The sequence below is a fragment of the Homo sapiens genome, chromosome 17, assembly GCF_000001405.40.
Source record: "Homo sapiens chromosome 17, GRCh38.p14 Primary Assembly".
Taxonomy (NCBI): domain Eukaryota; kingdom Metazoa; phylum Chordata; class Mammalia; order Primates; family Hominidae; genus Homo; species Homo sapiens.
The window spans coordinates 31,665,602-31,689,080 of NC_000017.11; the positions used below are offsets into that span (position 1 = coordinate 31,665,602).

At 44.5% G+C, this 23,479-nt stretch overlaps 3 annotated features.

Moving 5' to 3' along the window:
• Window positions 5,846-6,030: a silencer, noted in NCBI's record as "fragment chr17:29998466-29998650 (GRCh37/hg19 assembly coordinates)". NCBI's record gives its function as "represses an EF-1alpha promoter that drives an FKBP-Casp9 reporter gene in an ReSE screen in K562 erythroleukemia cells {active_cell/tissue: K562}" and the evidence as "EXISTENCE:reporter gene assay evidence [ECO:0000049][PMID:32094911]".
• Window positions 12,451-12,952: an enhancer, noted in NCBI's record as "H3K27ac hESC enhancer chr17:30005071-30005572 (GRCh37/hg19 assembly coordinates)". NCBI's record gives its function as "activates a minimal SCP1, AML or CMV promoter by ChIP-STARR-seq in naive H9 embryonic stem cells {active_cell/tissue: H9 hESC(naive)}" and the evidence as "EXISTENCE:reporter gene assay evidence [ECO:0000049][PMID:30033119]".
• Window positions 14,695-14,804: an enhancer, noted in NCBI's record as "active region_12019". NCBI's record gives its function as "activates an Ori minimal core promoter by ATAC-STARR-seq in GM12878 lymphoblastoid cells {active_cell/tissue: GM12878}" and the evidence as "EXISTENCE:reporter gene assay evidence [ECO:0000049][PMID:35858748]".

Consider the following 23,479-nt stretch of genomic DNA (forward strand, 5'->3'; position numbering starts at 1 on the left):
CATTCTAACTGGTGTGAGATGGTATCTCATTGTGGTTTTGATTTGCATTTCTCTGATGGCCAGTGATGATGAGCATTTTTTCATGTGTCTATTGGCTGCATAAATGTCTTCTTTTGAGAAGTGTCTGTTCATATCCTTTGCCCACTTTTTGATGGGGTTGTTTGATTTTTTCTTGTAAATTTGTTTTTGTTCTTTGTAGATTCTGGATATTAGCCCTTTGTCAGATGGGTAGATTGGAAAAATTTTCTCCCATTCCATTCATTCCTGTTCACTCTGATGGTAGTTTCTTTTGCTGTGCAGAAGCTCTTTAGTTTAATTAGATCCCATGTGTCAATTTTGGCTTTTGTGGCCATTGCTTTTGGTGTTTTAGTCCTGAAGTCCTTGCCCATGCCTATGTCCTGAATGGTACTGCCTAGGTTTTCTTCTAGGGTTTTTATGGCTTTAGGTCTAACATTTAAGTCTTTAATCCATCTTGAATTAATTTTTGTGTAAGGTGTAAAGAAGGGGATCCAGTTTCAGCTTTCTACATGTGGCTAGCCAGTTTTCCCAGCACCATTGATTAAATAGGGAATCCTTTCCCCATTTCTTGTTTTTGTCAGGTTTGTCAAAGATCAGATGGTTGTAGATGTGTGGTATTATTTCTGGGGGCTCTGTTCTGTTCCACTGGTCCATATCTCTGTTTTGGTACAAGTACCATGCTGTTTTGGTTACTGTAGCCTTGTAGTATAGTTTGAAGTCATGTAGCATGATGCCTCCAGCTTTGTTCTTTTGGCTTAGGATTGTCTTGGCAATGTGGGCTCTTTTTTGGTTCCATATGAGCTTCAAAGTAGTTTTTTCCAATTCTGTGAAGAAAGTCATTGGAAGCTTGATGGGGATGGCATTGAATCTATAAATTACCTTGGGCAGTATGGCCATTTTCTCAATATTGATTCTTCCTATCCTTGAACATGTAATGTTATTCCATTTTTTGTGTGTCCTCTTTTATTTCCTTGAGCAGTGGTTTGTTGTTCTTCTTGAAGAATCCTTCACATTCCTTGTAAGTTGGATTCCTAGGTATTTTATTCTCTTTGAAGCAATTGTGAATGGGAGTTCACTCATGATTTGGCTCTCTGTTTGTCTGTTATTGGTGTATAGGAATGCTTGTGATTTTTGCACATTGATTTTGTATCCTGAGATTTTGCTGAAGTTGCTTATCAGCTTAAGGAGATTTTGGGCTGAGACTATGGGGTTTTCTAAATATACAATCATGTCATCTGCAAACAGGGGCAATTTGACTTCCTCTTTTCCTAATTGAATACCCTTTATTTCCTTCTCCTGCCTGATTGCCCTGGCCAGAACTTCCAACCCTATGTTGAATAGGAGTGGTGAGAGAGGGTATCCCTGTCATGTGCCAGTTTTCAAAGGGAATGCTTCCAGTTTTTGCCCATTCAGTATGATATTGGCTGTGGGTTTGTCATAAATAGTTCTTATTATTTTGAGATACGTCCCATCAATACCTCGTTTATTGAGAGTTTTTAGCCTGAAGGATTGTTGAATTTTGTCAAAGGCCTTTTCTGCATCTATTGAGATAATCATGTGGTTTTTGTCTTTGATTCTGTTTATCTGATGGATCATGTTTATTGATTTGTGTATGTTGAACCAGCCTTGCATCCCAGGGATGAAGCCAACTTGATCGTGATGGATAAGCTTTTTGATGTGCTGCTGGATTCAGTTCGCCAGTATTTTATTCAGGATTTTTGCATCGATGTTTATCAGGGATATTGGTCTAAAATTCTCCTTTTTTGTTGTGTCTCTACCAGGCTTTTGCATCAGGATGATGCTGGCCTCATAAAATAAGTTAGGGAGGATTCCCTCTTTTTCTATTTATTGGAATAGTTTCAGAAGGAATGGTACCAGCTCCTCTTTGTACCTCTGGTGGAATTCGGCTGTAAATCTGTCTGGTCCTGGAGTTTTTTTGGTTGGTAGGCACTAATTATTGCCTCAATTTCAAAGCCTGTTATTGGTCTATTCAGGGATTCAACTTCTTCCTGGTTTAGTCTTGGGAGGGTGTATGTGTCGAGGAATTTATCCATTTCTTCTAGATTTTCTAGTTTATTTGCATAGAGGTGTTTATAGTATTCTCTGATGGCAGTTTGTATTTCTGTGGGATCGGTGGTGATACCCCCTTTATCATTTTTTATTGCGTCTATTTGATTCTTCTCTCTTCTTCTTTATTAGTCTTGCTAGCAATCTATCAATTTTGTTGATCTTTTCAAAAAACCAACTCCTGGGTTCATTGATTTTTTGAAGGGTTTTTTGTGTCTCTATTTCCTTCAGTTCTGCTCTGATCTTAGTTATTTCTTGCCTTCTGCTAGCTTTTGAATGTGTTTGCTCTTGCTTTTCTAGTTCTTTTAATTGTGATGTTAGGGTGTCAATTTTAGATCTTTCCTGCTTTCTCCTGTGGGCATTTAGTGCTATAAATTTCCCTCTACACACTGCTTTGAATGTGTCCCAGAGATTCTGGTATGTTGTGTCTTTGTTCTCATTGGTTTCAAAGAACATCTTTATTTCTGCCTTCATTTCGTTAGGTACCCAGTAGTCATTCAGAAGCAGGTTGTTCAGTTTCCATGTAGTTGGGCAGTTTTGAGTCAGTTTCTTAATCCTGAGTTCTAGTTTGAGTGCACTGTGGTCTGAGAGACAGTTTGTTATAATTTCTGTTGTTTTACATTTGCTGAGGAGTGCTTTACTTCCAACTATGTGGTCAATTTTGGAATAAGTGTGATGTGGTGCTGAGAAGAATGTAATTCTGTTGATTTGGGGTGGAAAGTTCTGTAGATGTCTATTTGGTCCACTTGGTGCAGAGCTGAGTTCAATTCCTGGATATCCTTTTTAACTTTCTGACTTGTTGATCTGTCTAATGTTGACAGTGGGGTGTTAAAGTCTCCCATTATTTTTGTGTGGGAGTCCTAGTCTCTTTGTAGGTCTCTAAAGACTTGCTTTGTGAATCTGGGTGCTCCTGTATTGGGTGCATACCTATTTAGGATAGTTAGCTCTTCTTGTTGAATTGATCCCTTTACCATTATCTAATGGCCTTCTTTGTCTCTTTTGATCTTTGTTGGTTTAAAGTCTGTTTCATCAGAGACTAGGATTGCAACCCCTGCTTTTTTTGTTTGTTTGTTTTCCATTTGCTTGGTAGGTCTTCCTCCATCCCCTTATTTTGAGCCTATGTGTGTCTCTGCACATGGGATGGGTCTCCTAAATACAGCACATTGATGGGTCTTGAATCTTTATCCAATTTGCCAGTCTGTGTCTTTTAATTGGAGCATTTAGCCCATTTACATTTAAAGTTAATATTGTTATGTGTGAATTTGATCCTGTCATTATGATGTTAGCTGGTTATTTTGCTCATTAGTTGATGCAGTTTCTTCCTAGCATCGATGGTCTTTACAATTTGGCATGTTTTTGCAGTGGCTGGTACCGGTTGTTCCTTTCCATGCTTAGTGCTTCCTTCAGGAGCTCTTGTAAGGCAGGCCTGGTGGTGACAAAATCTCTCAGCATTTGCTTGTCTGTAAAGGATTTTATTTCTCCTTCATTTATGAAGCGTAGTTTGGCTGGATATGAAATTCTGGGTTGAAAATTCTTTTCTTTAAGAATGTTGAATATTGGCCCCACTCTCTTCTGGCTTGTAGAGTTTCTGCCGAGAGATCCACTGTTAGTCTGATGGACTTCCCTTTGAGGGTATCCCGACCTTTCTCTCTGGCTGCCCTTAACATTTTTTCCTTCATTTCAACTTTGGTGAGACTGACAATTATGTGTCTTGGAGTTGCTTTTCTCAAGGAGTGTCTTTGTGGCATTCTCTGTATTTCCTGAATTTGAATGTTGGCCTGCCTTGCTAGGTTGGGGAAGTTCTCCTAGATAATATCCTGAAGAGTGTTTTCCAACTTGGTTCCATTCTCCCCGACACTTTCAGGTACACCAATCAGAGGTAGATTTGGTCTTTTCACATAGTCCCATATTTCTTGGAGGTTTTGTTCATTTCTTCTTACTCTTTTTTCTCTAAACTTCTCTTCTCGCTTCATTTCATTCATTTGATCTTCAATCACTGATACCCTTTCTTCCACTTGATCGAATTGGCTACTGAAGCTTGTGCATGTGTCACGTGGTTCTTGTGCCATGGTTTTCAGCTCCATCAGGTCATTTAAGGTCTTCTCTATACTGTTTATTCTAGTTAGCCATTCGTCTAATCTTTTTTCAAGGTTTTTAGCTTCTTTGCAGGTTTGAACATCCTCCTTTAGCTTGGAGAAGTTTGTTATTACCAATCGCCTGAAGCCTTCTTCTCTCAACTTGTCAAAGTCATTCTCCATCCAGCCTTGTTCCATTGCTGCTGAGGAGCTGCATTCCTTTGGAGGAGAAGAGGTGCTCTGATTTTTAGAATTTTCAGCTTTGCTGCTCTGGTTTCTCCTCATCTTTGTGGTTTTATGTACCTTTGGTCTTTGATGGTGACGTACAGATGGGGCTTTGGTGTGGATGTCCTTTCTGTTTGTTAGTTTTCCTTCTAACAGTCAGGACCCTCAGCTGCAGGCCTGTTGGAATTTGCTGGAGGTCCACTGCAGACCCTGTTTGCCTAGGTACCACCAGTGGAGGCTGCAGAACAGCAAATATTGCAGACCGGCAAATGTTGCTGCCTTATCCTTCCTTGGGAAGCTTCATCTCAGAGGGGCACCTGGCTGTATGAGGTGTCAGTCGGCCCTTACTGGGAGGTGTCTCCCAGTTAGGCTACTCAGGGGTCAGGAGCCCCCTTGAGGAGGCAGTCTGTCTGTTCTCAGATCTCAAACTCCGTGCTGGGAGAACCACTACTATCTTCAAAGCTGTCAGACAGGGATGTTTAAGTCTGCAGAAGTTTCTGCTGCCTTTTGTTCAGCTATGCCCTGCCCCCAGAGGTGGAGTCTACAGAGGCAGGGAGGCTCCTTGAGCTGTGGTGGGCTCCACCCAGTTCAAGCTTCCTGGCCACTTTGTTTACCTACTCAAGCCTCAGCAATGGTGGGCGCCCCTCCCCCAGCCTCGCTGCCACCTTGCAGTTGGATCTCAGACTGCTGTGCTAGCAGTGAGTGAGGCTCCATGGGTGTGGGACCCTCCAAGCCATGCTCGGGATATAATCTCCTGGTGTGCCGTTTGCTAAGACCATTGAAAAAGCACAGTATTAGGGTGAGAGTGTCCTGATTTTCCAGGTGCCATCTGTCACAGCTTCCCTTGGCTAGGAACGGGAATTCCCTGACCCCTTGCACTTCCCTGGTGAGGTGATGCCACGCCCTGCTCCATGGCCTGCACCCACTGTCTGAAGCCCCAGTGAGATGAACCCAGTACCTCAGTTGGAAATGCAGAAATCACCCGTCTTCTGCATCGCTCACCCTGGGAGCTGTAGACTGGAGCTGTTCCTATTCAGCCATCTTGGGACCTCTGATCACTGCCAATATCCTTTATAGTCAGGAAGTGGTAGAACAAAGTGTGACTAATGTCCAAATCCCATCATTCTCTTTCTGCTACAAGAGAAAAGAAAAGTGAAAGGGTAGAAGGAGAAGTCGAGACAGGGAAGAGACTCGGGCAGCTTCAAATGGCTTCAGGGGCCCAAAAGCTGCTGAACACAGAGGATTCCCAGGCTTCGGAGTCTGACCTAATGAATGACAGGGCATAGGGATGAGGCAGCAGGAGGGGCCAAAGTGAAGACTCACCTTCCCAATAAGCCTTGCAGTCAGACCTTGTGTCTGAGCAGATGTGCCTGGAAAAGTGACCTCCAGATGGGTTAGGAAGGTCCCTATTGCCACAGTGAATCCTGCCCTTGCCCCCTGGCCAGGGAGCAGCTAATCCTCCATGCCAGCTATCCAGGCTCCCTGGAGTCTTTGATAAAGACCTGGACAAGGCAGATTGCAATTCTCATGGGAGGGAGCTGGGGTGGGGCAAACGTGTTCCTCCAGCACTCCCAAAGCCAGCCTCAGCCAGGCGTGGCAGCTCATGCCTGTAATCCCAACACTTTGGGAGGCCAAGTCAGGAAGATTGCTTGAGCCCAGGAGTTCCAGACCAGCCTGGGCAACATGGTGAAACACCATTGCTATAAAAAATACAAAAAATAGCTGGGCATGGGTGGTGTACTCCCGTAGTCCCAGCAACACAGGAGACTGAAGCAGGAGAATCAATTGAGCCCTTGAAGTCAAGGCTGCAATGAACAGTGATTGCACCACTGCACTCCAGCCTGGACAACAGAGGGAGACCCTGTCAAAAAAAAAAAAAAAAAAAGCCTGCCTCGTGGCTTCAGTTCCTGCAATGTATCTGATGTACCTGGGGCCAAAAGCCTGGACTCTGGGCCAGCTCTGTGTCCCGCACTACAGTTGAGGAAAGAGATCAGAGAAAGGGACAAAGGATAGATTTGGGTCTTGATTCGGAATAACCCAATTCTTTGCCCACAGGAGTAGAAAAGATGGAAGATGTGCCCACTATTTCCCTAGGGTCCCTCAGCTCTGAGTCCCCCTTCTACACTGGCTCAGTGATGCCGGGCTGGGCTGCACCTCTGCAACTACAGTGCCCAGACCCCTTTGCCAGCTGGCTTTCTATTTGGTGCTATCTCTCCATAGGAAGTCCCGGAGAAGGATCGGAAGGCAGGAGAGGGGAGAAGGTGCTTTTCCCTTCCCGTTTGTTTGCTGTTCCTGTCAGTGCAGCCCAGCAGTGGCAGCTGGTCCAGTCTCCAGCGTCCTTCAGCATCCCGGTGCCAGCCCTCCTCTGCCTGCTCAGAAAGAAGAACCCTCGGAGCTGGCCAGCACTGCTCTTAGTGCCCAAGCTCCACCCTTCCAAGCTCCTAGTTTCCTGTTTTCTTCCCTTTCATCCCCCCAGCCTTAAAGGTGATGGCTGCTTTCTATAGTTATTTTCTCTGGGTTTTCCTCAGTATTCTGTTTTTTCTCTTCCTGCCAGGTGTAACCAAATCCTCATATTAAATTTCCCCTGTTGAGATCCTGGCATGATTTCTCTTTTCCTGACTGGCTTCTGCTGATTCAGAAAGAAACAGAGCTGCTTCTCCAGGGAGCCTGCTGTGTTTTACAAGACACAGAGTGGGACTGAGGGCAGGGGAGGGGCTTTGGGCTAAGGTGGTCCTGAGTCCAAATCCCTTCTCTGATTTTACCCCCTGAGTGACTTTGGGCAAGCTACTTGATTTCTCTGCACTTCAGTTTCCTCACCTGAAAATCGGGTTAGTAACACAAACCTGATTCGTCTTCAGTACCAGAGACAAAAAACCAATTTGAACTAATTAGGCAAAAGGATGAAATTATTCTGGAAAGTTTCCAGAAAAGTAATCATCAAGTGCAAAGGGCAAGAAGGCAGGGGTCTGGCTCACCTCTCCTAGAACTGGAATCAGGAACTCAAGTGCATTGAGGATCTCTCTGCCCCTCAGAGCTGCTTCCCAGTTTGTGGTCCCGATTCTTATCACAGAGCATCTTCTCCATGTGGTGGAGGAAGATGTCTTCTCTCAGTTTCCAGACTCTTGCCTTCACAGCTTTGCCCACAGAAGAAACCACTCCTCCTGGTGAGGCCCAACTCAGTAGTGTCCAAGGAAAGGCACAATTGGCCAGGGAGGTTATGAGTTCATCCCTGCACACACACTGTTACCTGGGAGCAGGGTCACATAAGGGATGACAGCTGCTGGTCAGCGACAACACGTCTAGATCTTGCAAAAACCCGGGCATTGCCACATGACTCTTCCCGTTTCACAGATGAGCAAGCTGAGGTTCAGAGGAGGAGGGGCTTGACCACAGTCATGCGGCTTTCATCTAAATAACAATACCGGACATTATGTCATTAAAAATCAGGTTACGGCCGGGTGGCTCATGCCTGTAATCCCAGCACTTTGGGAGGCTAAGGCAGGAGAATCACTTGAACCCAGGAGGCAGAGGTAGCAGTGAGCTGAGATCACGCCACTGCACTCCATCCTGGCAACAGAGCGAGACTCCGTCTCAAAAAACAAAACAAAACAAAAGAAAAAAACAGGTTATTAGCTGGGCACGCTGGCACACACCTGTAATCCCAGCACTTTGAGAGGCTGAGAAGGGAGGGTCACTTGGGGCCAGGAGTTCAAGTCCAACATGGACAACAAAACGAGAACCCATCTCTACCAAAAAGAGAACAAAATTTTTTCGAGACAGGGCCTCACTCTGTCGCCCAGGCTGGAGTGCAGTGGCACGACCTCAGTTCACTGCCCCTTACACCTCTCGGATTCAAGGATTCTTGTGCCCCAACCTCCTGAGTAGGTGGGATTACAGGCACACACTGCCATGTCTGGCTAATTTTTGTATTTTTTGGAAGAGACAGGGTTTCGCCACGTTGGCCAGGCTGGTCTCAAACTCATGGCCTCAGATGATCCACCCGCTTTGGCCTCCCAAGTGCTGGGATTACAGGCATGAGAAATACTCTTTTTAATTAGCTGGGTGAGGTGGTGCACGCCTGTAGTGGTAGCTTTTGGAGAGGCAAGGCAGGAGGATCACTTGAGTTTAGGAGTTTAAGGCTGCAGTGAGCCGTGATCACACCACTGCACCTCAGCCTGGGTGGCAGGGTGAGACCTTATCTCAAAACAAAAAACCCGAGATAACTGGCAGCTCTGCAGGCTTAGAGGAAAGCAACTGGATGTGGGTGAGTGTAGTGCAGTAGGCAAGGAGGGAAGAAGGCTGCATTTGCTTCATGCCTACAATGTGCCAGGCACTGGCGGATCGACACAGGAGAGCCATGCCTCCAGTGTCTATCCTGTTTTGAAAAGAGAAGAAAATGAGGTTCAGAATGGTTCCATACCCAATTCCAGGCTCCACAGCTTAGAGGCAGGGCTGGAATTCAAACCCTAGTCTTGCGGGTTCTGTGCATTACTCATCGCAGTAGCTGTATGCCTAGGCCCCTCGGGAAGTTTCTGGCTATTGGACAGACTCAGATTGGATGACATTCCCTGGCTCCATTTCCTCTGGTTTTAGATGCCAGCAGAATACAGGTCCCTCTGGGCATCGTGGCATTCGAAAAAATGCAGGGAAAGGGTCCACAGAAACTAAAAATGATGATCAAGGGGCAGAAAGGGTTTTCTGAGGAAACGTAAAGACAAACTGGGCTGTTGCATTGCTGGTGACCTGCCTCTGGCACTTCTCCAGCTGTATCTCTGCCTGACCCTCCAGCCACACTAAATTTTTTACAGCTTCCCGAATATGTCACTGTTTTCTGCCTCCACGCCTTTGTAGAAATTGCTTTCTTTACCTAAAACACCTTTCCTACTCCCATCCAAACCCTGCCTTCCTGACAAACTCCTATACATCCCTCAAAACCGATTTCGGTCATCTCCTCTGTGAAGTCCTGTTTCCTAGCAGTGGACCCTTCCTGCTTCATACCCTAGGGTTGATTGCTTCTTTTTCTTTGTCCTCAGCACACCTAAGACTTCCTCCAAACTGGTGATTCTCCACTCCCATGTGCAGATCTGCTTGCTGCATCAGAATCACCTCAGGAGTGATTTCAAGATAGTCAAGCCCAGGCCCTGCTCTGGGAGAATCTGACTCAGACTCTGGAGTGTAGCCAGATGTCAGAAATAAGTAGATTGTCCAAGTGCTTGTGATGCTCAGCCAGGTGTGGAGAGCACTGAGGTGCACCCCTGGAAGGCAGGACCTTCTCCATACCAGGGCTTGGCTCAGAGGAGTGCACAGTGAGTGGGGAAGGAAAGAAGGGAGTGTGTCCAGCATTGGTTCCTTCCCGTGGGTTCTTGGTCTCGCTGACTTCAAGAATGAACTTGTGGACACTCATGGTGTGTGTTACATTTCTTAAAAATGGTGTGTCTGGAGTTTGTTCCTTCAGATGTTCAAACATGTCCAGAGTTTCTTCCTTCTGGTGGGTTCATGGTCTCGCTGACTTCAGGAGTGAAGCCACAGACTTTCGCAGTGAGTGTTACAGCTCTTAAAGGTGGCACGTCTGGAGTTGTTTGTTCCTCTTGGTGGGTTCGTGATTTCACTGGCTTCAGAAGTGATCCTACAGACCTTTGTGGTGAGTGTTACAGCTCACAAAGGTAGTGCGGACCCAAAGAGTGAGCAGCAACAAGAATTATTGCAGCTAGCCAAAGAATAAAGCTTCCACAACTTGGAAGGTGACCAGAGGGGTGGCCAGCTTTTATTCCCTTATTTGGCCTCACCCACATCCTGCTGATTGGTCCATTTTACAGAGCGCTGATTGGTCTATTTTACAGAGTGCTGATTGGTCTGTTTTTACAGAGTGCTGATTGGTGCGTTTACAAACCTTTAGCTAGACACTGAGCACTGATTTGTGCATTTTTACAGGGTGCTGATTGGTGCATTTACAAACCTTTAGCTAGACACAGAGCACTGATTGGTGAGTTTTTACAGAGTGCTGATTGGTGCGTTTACAAACCTTTAGCTAGACACAGAGTGCTGATTGGTGTGTTTACAATCCTATAGATAGACAGAAAAGTTCTTGGAGTCCCTACCTGACCCAGAAGCCCAGCCGGCTTCACCTCTCAGGAGGGAGGGAGGGAGGGAGAGAGGGAGAAAAAGAGAGAGGGAGGGAGGAAGATAGGGAGGGAGGGAAAAAGGAAAGGAGGGAGGAAGGAAGGAAAGGTGGGAGGGAGGGGAGGATAGGAAAGAGAGAGAACGAAAAAATAGAATGAAAGAAAAATGGGGCTGGGTACGGTGTCTCAGGCTTGTAATCCCAGCACTTTGGGAGGCCAAGGTGGGCAGATCACCTGAGGTCAGGAGTTTGAGACCAGCCTGGCCAACATGGTGAAACCCAGTCTCTACTAAAAATAAAAAAAACTAACTAGCCGGATATGGTGGTGGACACCTGTAATCCCAGCTACTGGGAAGGCTGAGGCAGAGAGAATCACTTGAACCTGGGAGGCGAGATTGCAGTGAGCTGAGATGGCACCACTGTACTCCAGCCTGGGTGACAGAGTGAGACTCTGTCAAAAAAAAAAAAAAAAAGAAAAGAAAAAAGAAAGAAGAAAAAGAAAAATGGGAGGAAGGAGGGAGGAGGGAGGAGTGGGGAGGAAGGAAGAGAGAAAGGTGAGTAGAGACAGGTGGGAGGATGAAAATGAGCATGATCCAGGTATGAGCAGAAAGGGGCAGGAAGCTGGGGTCTCGGGTGTGATGCCTCTAGGCCATTCTACCTCACCTCTTGTTGGCAAAGATGCCACTTCTAAAGTTAGACATACAGGGGTTTGAGTCCTGGTTCTGCCACTCACCAGCTGTGTGTGCCTTGGCAAGTCACTTGACCTCTGTTTTCTCTGCTTACAGGTGATAACTGCTGTGCCTGCCTCACCACAATGTTCTCAGGATTTAGCAAGCTCTTATGATCAGCACCTTTCAAGCATTCGTATGCACGAGAAGCAGCGGGGGATTTGTGAAAATCTAGGTTCTGACTCGTTTATGTTGGGCTGGAGCCTGGGATTCTGCAGTGGACTCCAAGTGGAGTCTATGCTGCTGGTCTGTGGACCAACTTTGAGTAGTGAGGATACAGATAAAAAGTCAGACACCTTTCCTCTCAGGGAACTTACCTGATTCTCTGCAACAGGTTGGGAACGAGGCCAGGAGTGCCCCTTTACAGAGCATGTTGTGTGTGCCAAACCTGGTGCTCAGCCCTACCACGCCCCCCTCACTGAGCTGGGAGGCCCCCGTTTTCTCAGAACTTGAGCAATAATGATCATGCCTTGTTCAAATCACACTGAGTTTCCTATTTCAACTGTAACAAGTTTTCGTAAACTAGGTGGCTTAGAAAGCACATTTATTCTCTTATGGTTCTGGAGGCTGGAAGTATGAAATGAGCCTTAGGGGCTCAAATCAAGGTGTCTGTAGGGCTGATTCCCTCTGGAGGCTCTGGGGGGAATCCGCTCCCTGACTCTCCTAGCGGCTGCTGGTATTCCTTGGCTTGTGGCCGCATGACTTGAATCTCTGCTTCTGTTGTCACATTGCCTCATTCTCCTCTCTCTGACCTCCTGGCTCCTTCTTATAAGGACCCTTGTGATTACATCGAGTCTATCTCCCCATGTCAAGAGCCTTAACTTTCTTATATGCAAAGTCCATTTTACCATGTCAGGCAATACAGTCACCGGTTCTGGGGATTAGGGAGTGGATTTCTTTGGAGGCCATTGTTCTGCCAACCACAACTGTCCAGGCCTCTCATCAGAACCTCCCAGGCCAGACCCTGACCACAGAGCTTAGGATGCACATCCTCTCCCTGGAGGAAATCTGTCATGATCCCTTTGCAGTCCAGGCTCTGAGCTGAAGCGGTGGCCGTGAGAGGGACTCATTCCTTAGCGTGGATGCTCCCTCTCCATGCATTGATCTCCCAAGAGTCAGAAGCTGAAGGAGCAGGGCCAAGGTCATGCTGTCCCTGGAGCCCCGGAGCACATGCTTGCCATAAGGCACACTGCTCATAAGAGCCAGGCCAGAGGTGACCTCTCCGGCAGCAAATCCATCAGGAGAAAATTGATAGGAAGGCCAGCCAGAAGATGGACAGAGCATTGTTAAGGAGGCAGGAGTGGTTGGACATTGACAAGGAAAAGGAAGTTGAAAAAATCCAGCTTGCTTTTTTCCTAAAACAGTTATTCCCTTAACCCCATGGTCCCTGAGACAGTGGACGAGCTGGGCTGACTGGCTTAGGGGTCACATATTCTGAGCCTATTAATGGCTTTTGGAGGCAAGCTGGGTGACAGGTACCCATTCCTGCCCAGTGTCTGGGTCAAAGGATGGACCCACGAGGCAAACGGATCCACCCCTTGGCTTGCCCACCATAGCTATCGGTGCAAAGACAGTGCTTTGGACTTGGAGGTAGGGTGGCCAATCGTCCCAAATTTCCTGGGAATTTGATGAGAAAACTGGGACACATTAGTCACCTTACATGTAGGAAGCTGTAAAAACCCAGCAGTGGGCTTGGTTGCTGCCTACCCTCCAGCCCCAGGCAACTTGGCAGGCCTCCTAACACCTTCAGCTGGCAGGGCCCATCACTGTTACAAAAGATTCTCCAAGTGAAGCAATGCCAGTGGTGACAGCTGGAGCTTAGGGGCTGCTGGAGAGGACAGCCCTCTCCATTGGGGCTGCTGAGTCACACTGGTTCAAGGTCTGGGTGATTCTAGAGCCTGATTTCTCTCAAGTCACTAGGGATGGGCAGAGGGGGGGCTCAGGCTGGAAGGAGAAAAGGGAGGAATTAAATCCCAAAGTTAAGATTCCACTGCAAAAGCTGAATGCCCATTCAGAAGCCTGCAATGAGAGCATGGCTTTTCAGCGTCAAAGGTACCCGTGCTGGGGGCCCTGGACCTGCTGCTAGGAGGAAGTGTGCTGTGGTGGGAAAGAGAATGCTGGGGCCGGACAGATCCTGGATTTCCTGCTTCCCAGCAGAATGACCTTGAGCAAGCCCCCTAGTGTCTCTGAGTTTTTCTCACTGGAAAAAAAGAGGCTAATGACACCTCTGTGCAGAGTTAAGGCAATAAACAACCAATGTGTGAACTTGCCTAATACCCAGTAGGTCGCTCCTGTCTTCAGGACCAGACCAAGGTCAATAGGAAAACAATTTAATAACCAGAGGCTGCCTGGTGAGCCTTGAATTAGAGTAAAGGGAGTTGGATAAACCCAGGGCTGTTTATCCAAGCCCTGGACCCAGGGCCCTTCCCTCCCTCTCTCTCCCTCTCTCTCTTTCTCTCTGCTGCTCCTTCTTCAGTTATTTCTTTTATTTTTAATTTTTTTGAGAAAAAGTCTTACTCTGTCACCCACACTGGAGTGCAATGGTACAATCAAGGCTCACTGTAGCCTCAGTCTCCTGGGCTCAAGCGATTCTCCCACCTCAGCCTCCCAAGTAGTGGGGACTACAGGTACACACCACCATGCCAGGCTGATTTATATATTTTTGGTAGAGATGGGGTTTTGCCATATTGCCCAAGCTGGTCTCAAACTCCTGAGCTCAAGTGATCCTTCTACCTCGGCCTCCTAAAGTGCTGGGATTACAGGCGTGAGCCACTGCACCCGGCTCTTCTTCAGTATTTCTTACGAGTCCCCTGGCCCTCCCATCCTTCCAGCAGTCCTTCGTGTTGCCTGTGTTGCGGATGGTTTGATCTAGCTCCATTATATGACACACAGACACTCTGCTAGGCTTTTTTAATTTTTTTAACATAAGTGATTTAATTTGACCGTCCAGCAACCCGTTGGGGGTAAGTATTGCTCTCCCCATTTTACAGATGTGGAAACTGAGGTTTGGAGAGGTTGAGGAAATATTACTTAGGGTCATACCAATTCAGGGTCACACCTCCAGGTTTCAAATTCAATGCTTTCTCCCTGTGAGGCAGACCCCACAACAGGGGTCATGTTAGTAGGGTGTCTCCTGCAGAGGATTTAGGGGGGCAGCCCACCCTAGCTGAACTGCCACGTTCACACAGCATCAGGAAGGCACCATCATCCTTTGGGCCACTTCCTGATTACAGGACTGGTAGAAGGTTCTTTTCTAAAGAATATGGGCTCCTTCTCAGTCCCCAATCAGCTGCTGACAGGGAATGTCCCAGTTCTCCCATCTGACTTACCACCCCTGATCCCTCACCTCAGACGGTGTGGGCCAACCTTCCACCGCTAGAAATGGAAGTGACAACCGCAACTTCCTTTTGTGAGACAAAAGGGAATTTATTACATTGGGTAGAAAAGGATATACTCAAGTAGGAGTACGACACGTAGAGAGTCAGGGAAAAGTCCCCAGTCTTGCGGCTTCAGCCTGACGTGTCTAGAGTCATTTCTGTTTTACTGACTAAACTCTTACTGTTACACAAGTTTGAACACACTCACATGCTATCTATCTACACACACACACACACACACACACACACACTCACACGGAATTAATAAACATGCATTAAATAAAACAATAGCATCTACACCAGGAGGGAGTTAGTGGAGTCAAACTGATTTAAGAATCTTTCATTGTTTTGGTGGAAGTTGAAGGTTTTGATCAACTTTTGGCTTTGGTAGATTGATAATGCATGTTGCTGGGTGCGGTGAGACACCTGTAGTCCCAGCTACTCAGGAGGAGGATGAGGTGGAAGGATCACCTGAGTCGAGGAGTTTGAGACCCTGTCTCTCAAAATAAAAAAGAATGCGTGCTGCACCTTCTGAGGTAATCACTAAAAGAATGGGAAAAGATGTTTTTACAAATTAAAATTAATTTTTTTTCTAGAGTCAGTTACTCCCAAGAAAAGGGCAAGAAAGGAGACAAAAAGCAATATGGGGCAGGCAGGACAAATAGAAAACAAAATAAGATGGTAAATGTAAACCCAAAGATACATAGTATATTGATTATATAATTATTCTATTAAAGGGTAAAGATTATCAACATGATTTTAAAATAAAAATTCAACTATGCGCTTTTTACAAAAGATACATTAAAAACACATAAAGTGTAAATGCAGAAGGATAGAAAAATATAAACCATGCAAATCCTAACCAAAAGAAAACCTCTGTATAGTATGTTAATTATTGTAAATATCCATGTTATTAATAGCTGACAAAGTAGATATTAAGTTAAAAGAAGTTACAAAGGCTGGGCGTGGTGGCTCATGCCTGTAATCCCAGCACTATGAGAGGCTGAGGCAGGCGGATCACAAGGTCAGGAGATGGAGACCATCCTGGCTAACACGGTGAAATCCCGTCTCTACTAAAAATACAAAAAAATTAGCCAGGTGTGGTGGTGGGAGCCTGTAGTCCCAGCTACTCGGGAGGCTAAGGCAGGAGAATGATGTGAACCCAGGAGGCAGAGCTTGCAGTGAGCCAAGATCACACCACTGCACTCCAGCCTGGGCAACAGAGTGAGACTCTGTCTTAAAAAAAAAAAAAAAAAAAAAGGTACAAAAGAAAAGAGGATCACTTCGTAATGGTAAAAGGGTCAATTCACCTAGAAAACATAACAATTATAAGTCATGTGCAAAAGAATTGGAAAGGAAAACTAAAACTGTCATTATTTGCAGGTGATATAAACTTCATATATAGAAAATCCAAAAGGATCTATAGGTGAATTATTAGAATTAATAAGAAAGCTTGACAATATTGGTAGATACAAATTTAATACAAATAAAATCATTCACATTTTTGTATATCAGCAACCAGAAGTAAAAAAAAATGTTTTTTAAAAAAATTATTTACAGGATCATCAAGGATAGTATATTACTAGGAATAAAACTAACAAAAGGTGTGCAATCTGTTTGTGGTATAATTATAAATATGTACTGAGAGACATTTTAAAAAGACTTCAAAAAAGCAGGAACATACCTTCCACCACATACAAAAGTTAACTCAAAATAGATCCCAAACCTAAATGTAAATACTGAAACTATACGAAGAAAACATAGTAGAATGCCTTTGTGACTAGGGTTAAGCAAAGATTTCTCTCTTTTTTTTTTTCTTTTTTTTTTTTGAGACAGTCTCACTCTATTGCCCAGGCTGGAGTACAGTGGCGCCATCTCGGCTCACTGCAACCTCTGCCTCCCAGGTTCAAGTGATTCTCCTGCCTCAGCCTCCTGTGGCCGGCTAATTTTTGTATTTTTTGTAGAGACGGGGTTTCGCCATGTTGCCCAGGCTGGTCTCAAACTCCTGACCTCAGGTGATCCCGCCCGCATCGGCCTCCCAAAGTGCTGGGATTACAGGCGTGAACCACCGCAACCGGCCACAAAGATTTCTTAAATATAACAAGAAAAGCACAATCTGTAAATGAACAATTTCATAAAATGAACCTCATCAAAATTAAAGCTCTTGCTCTTCAGAAGGCACACAAGAGAATAAAAGGACAATCCCACACTGGGGGAAGAAAATCTTTGCAAAGCAAATATCTAAAAAATGAGTTATATCCAGAATATAAATAATTCTCAGAACTCAATAATAAGAAAACCACCCAGTTACAAATAAGCAAAAGATTTGAAAAGACACTTCACCAAAGAAGATATATACACATAAGTTCACACTTTGGGAGGCCAAGGTGGGTGGATAACGAGATCAAGAGATCAATACCATGCTGACCAACATGGTGAAACCCCGTCTCTACTAAAAAAAAATACAAATATTAGCAATCGTGAAACTCTGTCTCAAGAAAAAAGAAAAAAAGGAAAAAAGTTCAACATCATTATGAAGGTGAGGGTGGGGTGTGTTGGGGAGGAGGGATTATACTGGGGCAGGAAGAAATCTTAGCCACTGATGGATATGTTCATTATCTTGATGGTAATGTTGGTTTCATGGGTGTATACATATGTCAAAACTTATTGAATTGTACACTTTAAATATGTGCAATTTATTGTAAGTCAAGCAAACCCCATTGAAGCTATTTTTTAAAGGACTTCAATAAAAGCAGAAATATACTTTGTGGGCTGGCAAACTCAACAGTCTTCCCAATCTGATTTATAAATTCAATACAATTGAATTAAAATCTCTGCTACTTACCTTTTATTTTGTGGAACTTGATGCGCTCATTCTAAACTTTATATGAAAATGCAGAGGAACAAGAATAGTTCAGAGACCCTTGAAATTTCCCTCACAAGGTAGAAGAATTTGATTCACCAAATATAAAGATTATTATAAATCTGTAGTAATCAAGACAATGTAGTGTTGGCTCAGGGATGGAACAATAGACCAATGGAACTGAAAAGAGAGTCCAGAAATAGGTTCCTGCTAATATGGGCACAGTGAATGATAGAGATGGATTGCAGAGAGGGAGAAAAGGGGGGACTTTGCAATAAATAAATGGGTCTCGAGTAGCTGAGTATTCATATTGTGGGGAGGGGGTGAAAATTGTACCCTTATCTCACACCATACACAAAAATCAATTCCAGATGGAATAAGAACCATGATATATGTCAGAGGCATATTTTTTATCTTATCTTTTTTTTTCTTTTTTGAGATAGGATCTCATTCTGTTGCTCAGGCTGGAGTGCAGTGGTGTGATCATAGTTCACTGCAGCCTCAAATTCTTGGGCTCAAATGACTCTCCCACCTCAGCCTCCTGAGTAGCTGGCATTACAGGTGCCTGCCACCATGCCTGGATAATTTTTGTACTTTTAGTAGAGAAGAGGTTTCATCATGTTAGCCAGGGTGGTTTTGAACTCTTGATCTGCTTGCCTTGGCCTCCCAAAATGTTGGGATTACAGGCATGAGCCACCATGGCTGGCAGAGAAGAAATTCTTAAACACATTCACAAAAAGTACAAATCATAAAGGAACACATTAATAAACTCTACTACATTAAAATTAAAAACTTCTGCTCTTAAAAGAGGGAAAAAAACAATTCACAGAGTGAGGGAAGATATTTGCAACTCAAAGAATTGACAAAAAAGTAGCAACAAGACTATATAAATACAACCCAACAGCAAAGACCCAGTAGCGCACACCTGTAATCCTAGCACTTCGGAAGACTGAGGCAAAGCAAATCACTTGAGCCCAGAAGGTCCAGGACAGCCTGGGCAACATGGCAAAACCTTGTCTCTACAAAAAATATAAAAATTAGCCAGGCTGGTGGTGCACGCCTGTGGTCCCAACTACCTGGGAAGCTGAAGTGGGAGGATCACCTGAACCCAGGAGATTGAGGCTGCAGTGAGCTGCGATCATGCCACTGCACTCCAGCCTGGGCAGCAGAGTGAGACCCCATCTCAAAAAAAAAATTGGCAAAATTCTTTCTAGGCACTTTATAAAAGAAGAAACCCAAATGGCTAATAAACACATAAAAATGTGCTCAATCTCATTTATAATCAGGAAAATGTAAATTGAAACCACAAAGAGATATTACTACATACATGCCATAAGGACAGTCAAATTCTGACACTACCGAGTGCTTAGTGAGGATGTGTAGCTGCAGGAACTCTTATACACTGCTTATAAGAACAATAAATTGGTGCAACCACTTTGATTAACAGTTCAGCACCTTCTGGTAAAGTTGAATAAGTAGAAGCATACTTAGACGAACTCATGCAGTGTATCTGCACCAAAAGTGATGAACAATGAATGTCTAGCAGCTTTCTTGTTAAGCCAGAATACTAGAAATAGCCCAGATCTCCAAAAATAGTAAATCAGATAAATGAATTGTAGCATATTCATAAATGGAATGCCATATAGCCATGGAAATCGACAAACTATAGCTATATGCAACAACATAAATGAAGCTTACAAATATAATTTTGAACAAACAATACAAAAGAATACATTTAGAATAATTCAATTTCTTTTATATATATATGTCAAAATATGCAAAATGAATGTATCTTGTTTAGAGGTGAATACATAGGAGAGATGATAAGCAAATGAAAAGCAAGAAAAATATTATCTTGAAAGTCAGGATAGTAGTTATTTCTGGGAAGAGGGAGGGGGTTGTCAATGGAAAAGGTACATAAGGGGGCGTCTTGGAGTGCTGGTAATATTCTAGGTGTTCAAGACCAAAGAGCCTCTTACCCCTGGCCAATGACTGTGGTTAGGGGAACTCCTTAAGCTGATTGACTTAAATCTAGAGTGCTGAACCAATCCCTGGCAAGAGAAGTGAGATTATTTAAATTTAGATCAACCCAGGTCCATCCCTAAAACTGTGGTGGAATGGGCTGCCCCTGAGGCACACAGACCACTTGGGAAAAGAGTGGATATCTGAATAAAATCATAGTTCTTTTAAGAAGAAGGAGGAAATAAATGCTGAGAAGGTACCCACCCACATCAACTGTAACCCTAATTCAGCTGCTGTGATTAAATATTCACAGTTACCATTCCCGGCACTACCCACACTGGACCCCAGAACCCTTTTATACCACCCCACCACAAGGCATGGGGGTCTTTGTGTTACTCCCTCAGGATTATAGGGTCCAGGTAAGAGCCTGGACACAGTTGAGTCCAGGTCATTGGCACTCCCCATGTGTCAGGAAGGAGAGGAGAGGAACATCTTTCCTTATTTAGTTCTCTTATTCAAAGAGGGTTCTGCTTCCCATCTGTTCTGGGATTCCCCTGAAATAGGAGAGGCATTCGAATGCCAGGTAGTCAGTGGGGGTTGGGGAAGAAGGAAGAACACCCTTTGATTGACAAACCCTGTCCAGATCCATTCCTCCCTTCGCCCCGCCAACAGCCTTGTATGGTAGATATGGGTGTCACTATTTCCATTGGCAGACAAGGAAACTGAGTCAATGTAAATACCTTGACCAAGTTCATACAGCTAATAAATGGCAAAACTCAAACTTACATCCACCGCTTTGACTCTGAAGCTGATTCTCTGCCCACAGCCTCAGGCTGCCTCCTATTAAAGAGCTTCAGATTATTAATAATGGGAGCAGGTTTGATTGGGAGAGCAAGTGGTTTCTCAGGAAATGTCTCAGAGATGGGAGGCTGGGTCACATTCTACCCAGGACCTTCCTGGAAACTTCAGTCCTCAGGAGGCTGGTCCTGCCGAGTTAATGGTTGGCTATTTTGGTCTGCACTTGGCTAATCTGCAAGTCCAACCCACCCATAACCACCATCCTCACCCCCACCCATAACTCAGTATCCAGATAAAGACTGGAAGGGAGGATATTCCAGAGACTGGATATGGACTCCCTAGGGTGATCGGAATCAAAGAATCTTTCTCCAAACCAACCCATTACCCTACACAGAAATTCTCTAGCACCATGAACCCATGACTGAGCACCGCTGGGGGCAGGCACCACCTCCTCTGCCAGCTGCCCATTTGAATGTCAGGTGGCCTCCTTGTTAGAACCCCTGACTTCCATCAAGTCAAAAGCTCCCTCCATGTAATGTCCACATCCTGGTCCAGTTCTGGCCTTGTGCAGGGGGTAAGTGTCCCCAAGACATTCCTTCAGAGAGAAGAGGGAAAAAGAGGATTGGGATGAAGAGATACAGGGGTAAGGACAAGGCAGAGAAAAAAGATTTTCTTCTTCAAGGTAAAATTCTGAGTCCTGAAAGCTGCTCCCCAGACCAGAATTAAACTTAACACTTAGGCCCTGAGCTCTAGTGGATCGTGCATATCACAAACCCACAAAAATAAATAAATTGATTAACAAGTACTGGATTGCCTGTAACTCGGGATCCTGCCTCAGCCCTGGCACAGCACAGCCCCAGCCCTAAACAGCTGCTCTCATGACTAACACCGTCCAGACCCCAGGAACTGCTTCAACGCTGTTACTGTCCAAAGCTTTACCTTTAGATACCACGAAGGTTTGTGGGTTTTGCCAATGCCAAGGTTGGACACTGAGCAGAGAGGATGCAAGCAGCAGAAACACTTGAGTGAAAGAAAGAAAAGACACATGAAATAACTTGCAAAATCTTTCCTGTCACATAGCAGGAATGGGCCAGATCCTTGCATTCAATGGATCACATTTTCCAGGGGCGTTGAGTTGTTTTCTCGCTTCTTTGATGTTCCTATTAGTTGTTCTAGAGCTATTAATAAATTAATACGGCATTCTCAAGACTTGCACAAGAGTGGTTGAGGGACGCTTTGCAATCTTAAATAATTCATATTAGTCTTAGATTTGTATATATCTAGGTTTGGACATAATATACATCAGTGGTCCCCAACCTTTTTGGCACCAGGGGCTGATTTCGTGGGAGATAATTTTTCCATGGACAGGGTGTGGGAAATGGTTTCCAGATGAAACTGTTCCACCTCAGATCATCAGACATTAGGTTCTCATAAGGAGCACACAACCTAGATCCCTTGGCCAGGCACGGTGGCTCATGCCTGTAATCCCAGCGCTTTGGGAGGCCAAGGCAGGTGGATCACTTGAGGTCAGGAGTTTGAGACCAGCCTGGCCAGCTGGTGAAACCCAGTCTCTACAAAAAATACAAAAATTAACCAGGCATGGTGGCGAGCACCTATAATCCCGGCTACTCAGGAGGCTGAGGCAGGAAAATTGCTTGAACCTGGGTGGCGGAGATTGCAGTGAGCCAAGACTGTGCCATTGCACTCCAGCCTGGGCAACAAGAGCGAAACTCCGTCTCAAAAAAAAAAAAAAAAGGAGCACACAACCCAGATCCCTCACATGCACAGTTCACAATAGGGGGTTTGAGCTCCTGTGAGAATCCAGTGCCACCACTGATCTGACAGGAGATGGAGTCATGCACTAATGTGAGCAATGGGGAGTGGCTGCAAATACAGACGAAGCGTCACTCACTCTTCTGCCACTCACCTCCTGCTGTGCCACCCCATTCCTAACAGGTCATGGCCTGGGGGCTGGGGACCCCGATATACATGAAGCATGATACTAATTCTTTACATTGTCAGACCTTGAATTGCAGAATTGCAATAGCTTTTTAATAAAAATATTTAATAAGATTTAATTAAATTATCAAAAAATAAAAATGATTTTATTAAATAACTTTATTAGTTTCATATTAATGATAATTTATATTTTACCTTTAATTTTAATAGATAATTTGGAACAGGGGTCAACCAACTTTTTCTCACAGGGAAAGACAATAAACATTTTTTACTTTTCAGGACATGTGATCTCTGTTACAACTACTCAAATCTGGTGTTGTAGCAAAAAAGCGCTGTAGACAGTATGTAAAGGAATAGATGTGGCTGTGTTCCATAAATGCTTGTTTACAAAAACAGGCCCACAACCATGGACCTTATTTTGTTGATCCTTGATTTAGAAGATAAGAACTTTTTTAAAAAACAAAATCATTTTTAATTTTTTACACTCACCTCAATTTGATGAAAATACTTTTTTTTTTTTTTTTTTTGAGACAGGATCTCACTCTGTCACCCAGGCTGGAGTGCAGTGGCATGATCTCGGCTCACTGCAACCTCCACCTCCTGGGTTCAAGTGATTTTCATGCCTCAGCCTCCTGAGTAGCTGGGATTACAGGTGCGCACTACCACGCCTGGCTCATTTTTTTTTTTTTTTTTGTATTTTTAGTAGAGACTGGTTTCCCCCTGTTGGCCAGGCTAGTCTCAAACTCCTGACCTCAAATGATCCACCTGCCTCGGCCTCCCAAAGTGCTGGGATTACAGGTGTGAACCACCACATCCGGCCTGATGAAAATACTTTAAAAAATTTATTTTATTCATGCAAGTTTATGGGTTACATGAGAAAATTTGTTACATGTACCTGAAAATACATTTGAATACATTTTTTTAAGCTCATTACTACTTAGGGAGGTCAAGGTGGGAGGATCACTTGAAACCAGGAGTTTGAGACCAGACTGGGCAACAAAGAAAGACTCCATTTCTATAAAATTTTCTTTAAAAATTAGCCAGGTATGGTGGCATGTGCCACCCAGCAACTCAGGAAGCTGTGGTGGAAGGAATTTGAGGCTGAGCCAAGGAATTTGAGGCTGCAGTGAGCTATGATCATACCACTGCACTCCAGCTTAGGCAACACAGTGAGATCCTATCTCTAAAAATAATAATAATAATGATAAAGCGGATTACTGCTATCAATAGAACAGAAATTATGCAAAAATATTAATCATAACCATAATTAGTGATTTTTCTAAAAATAA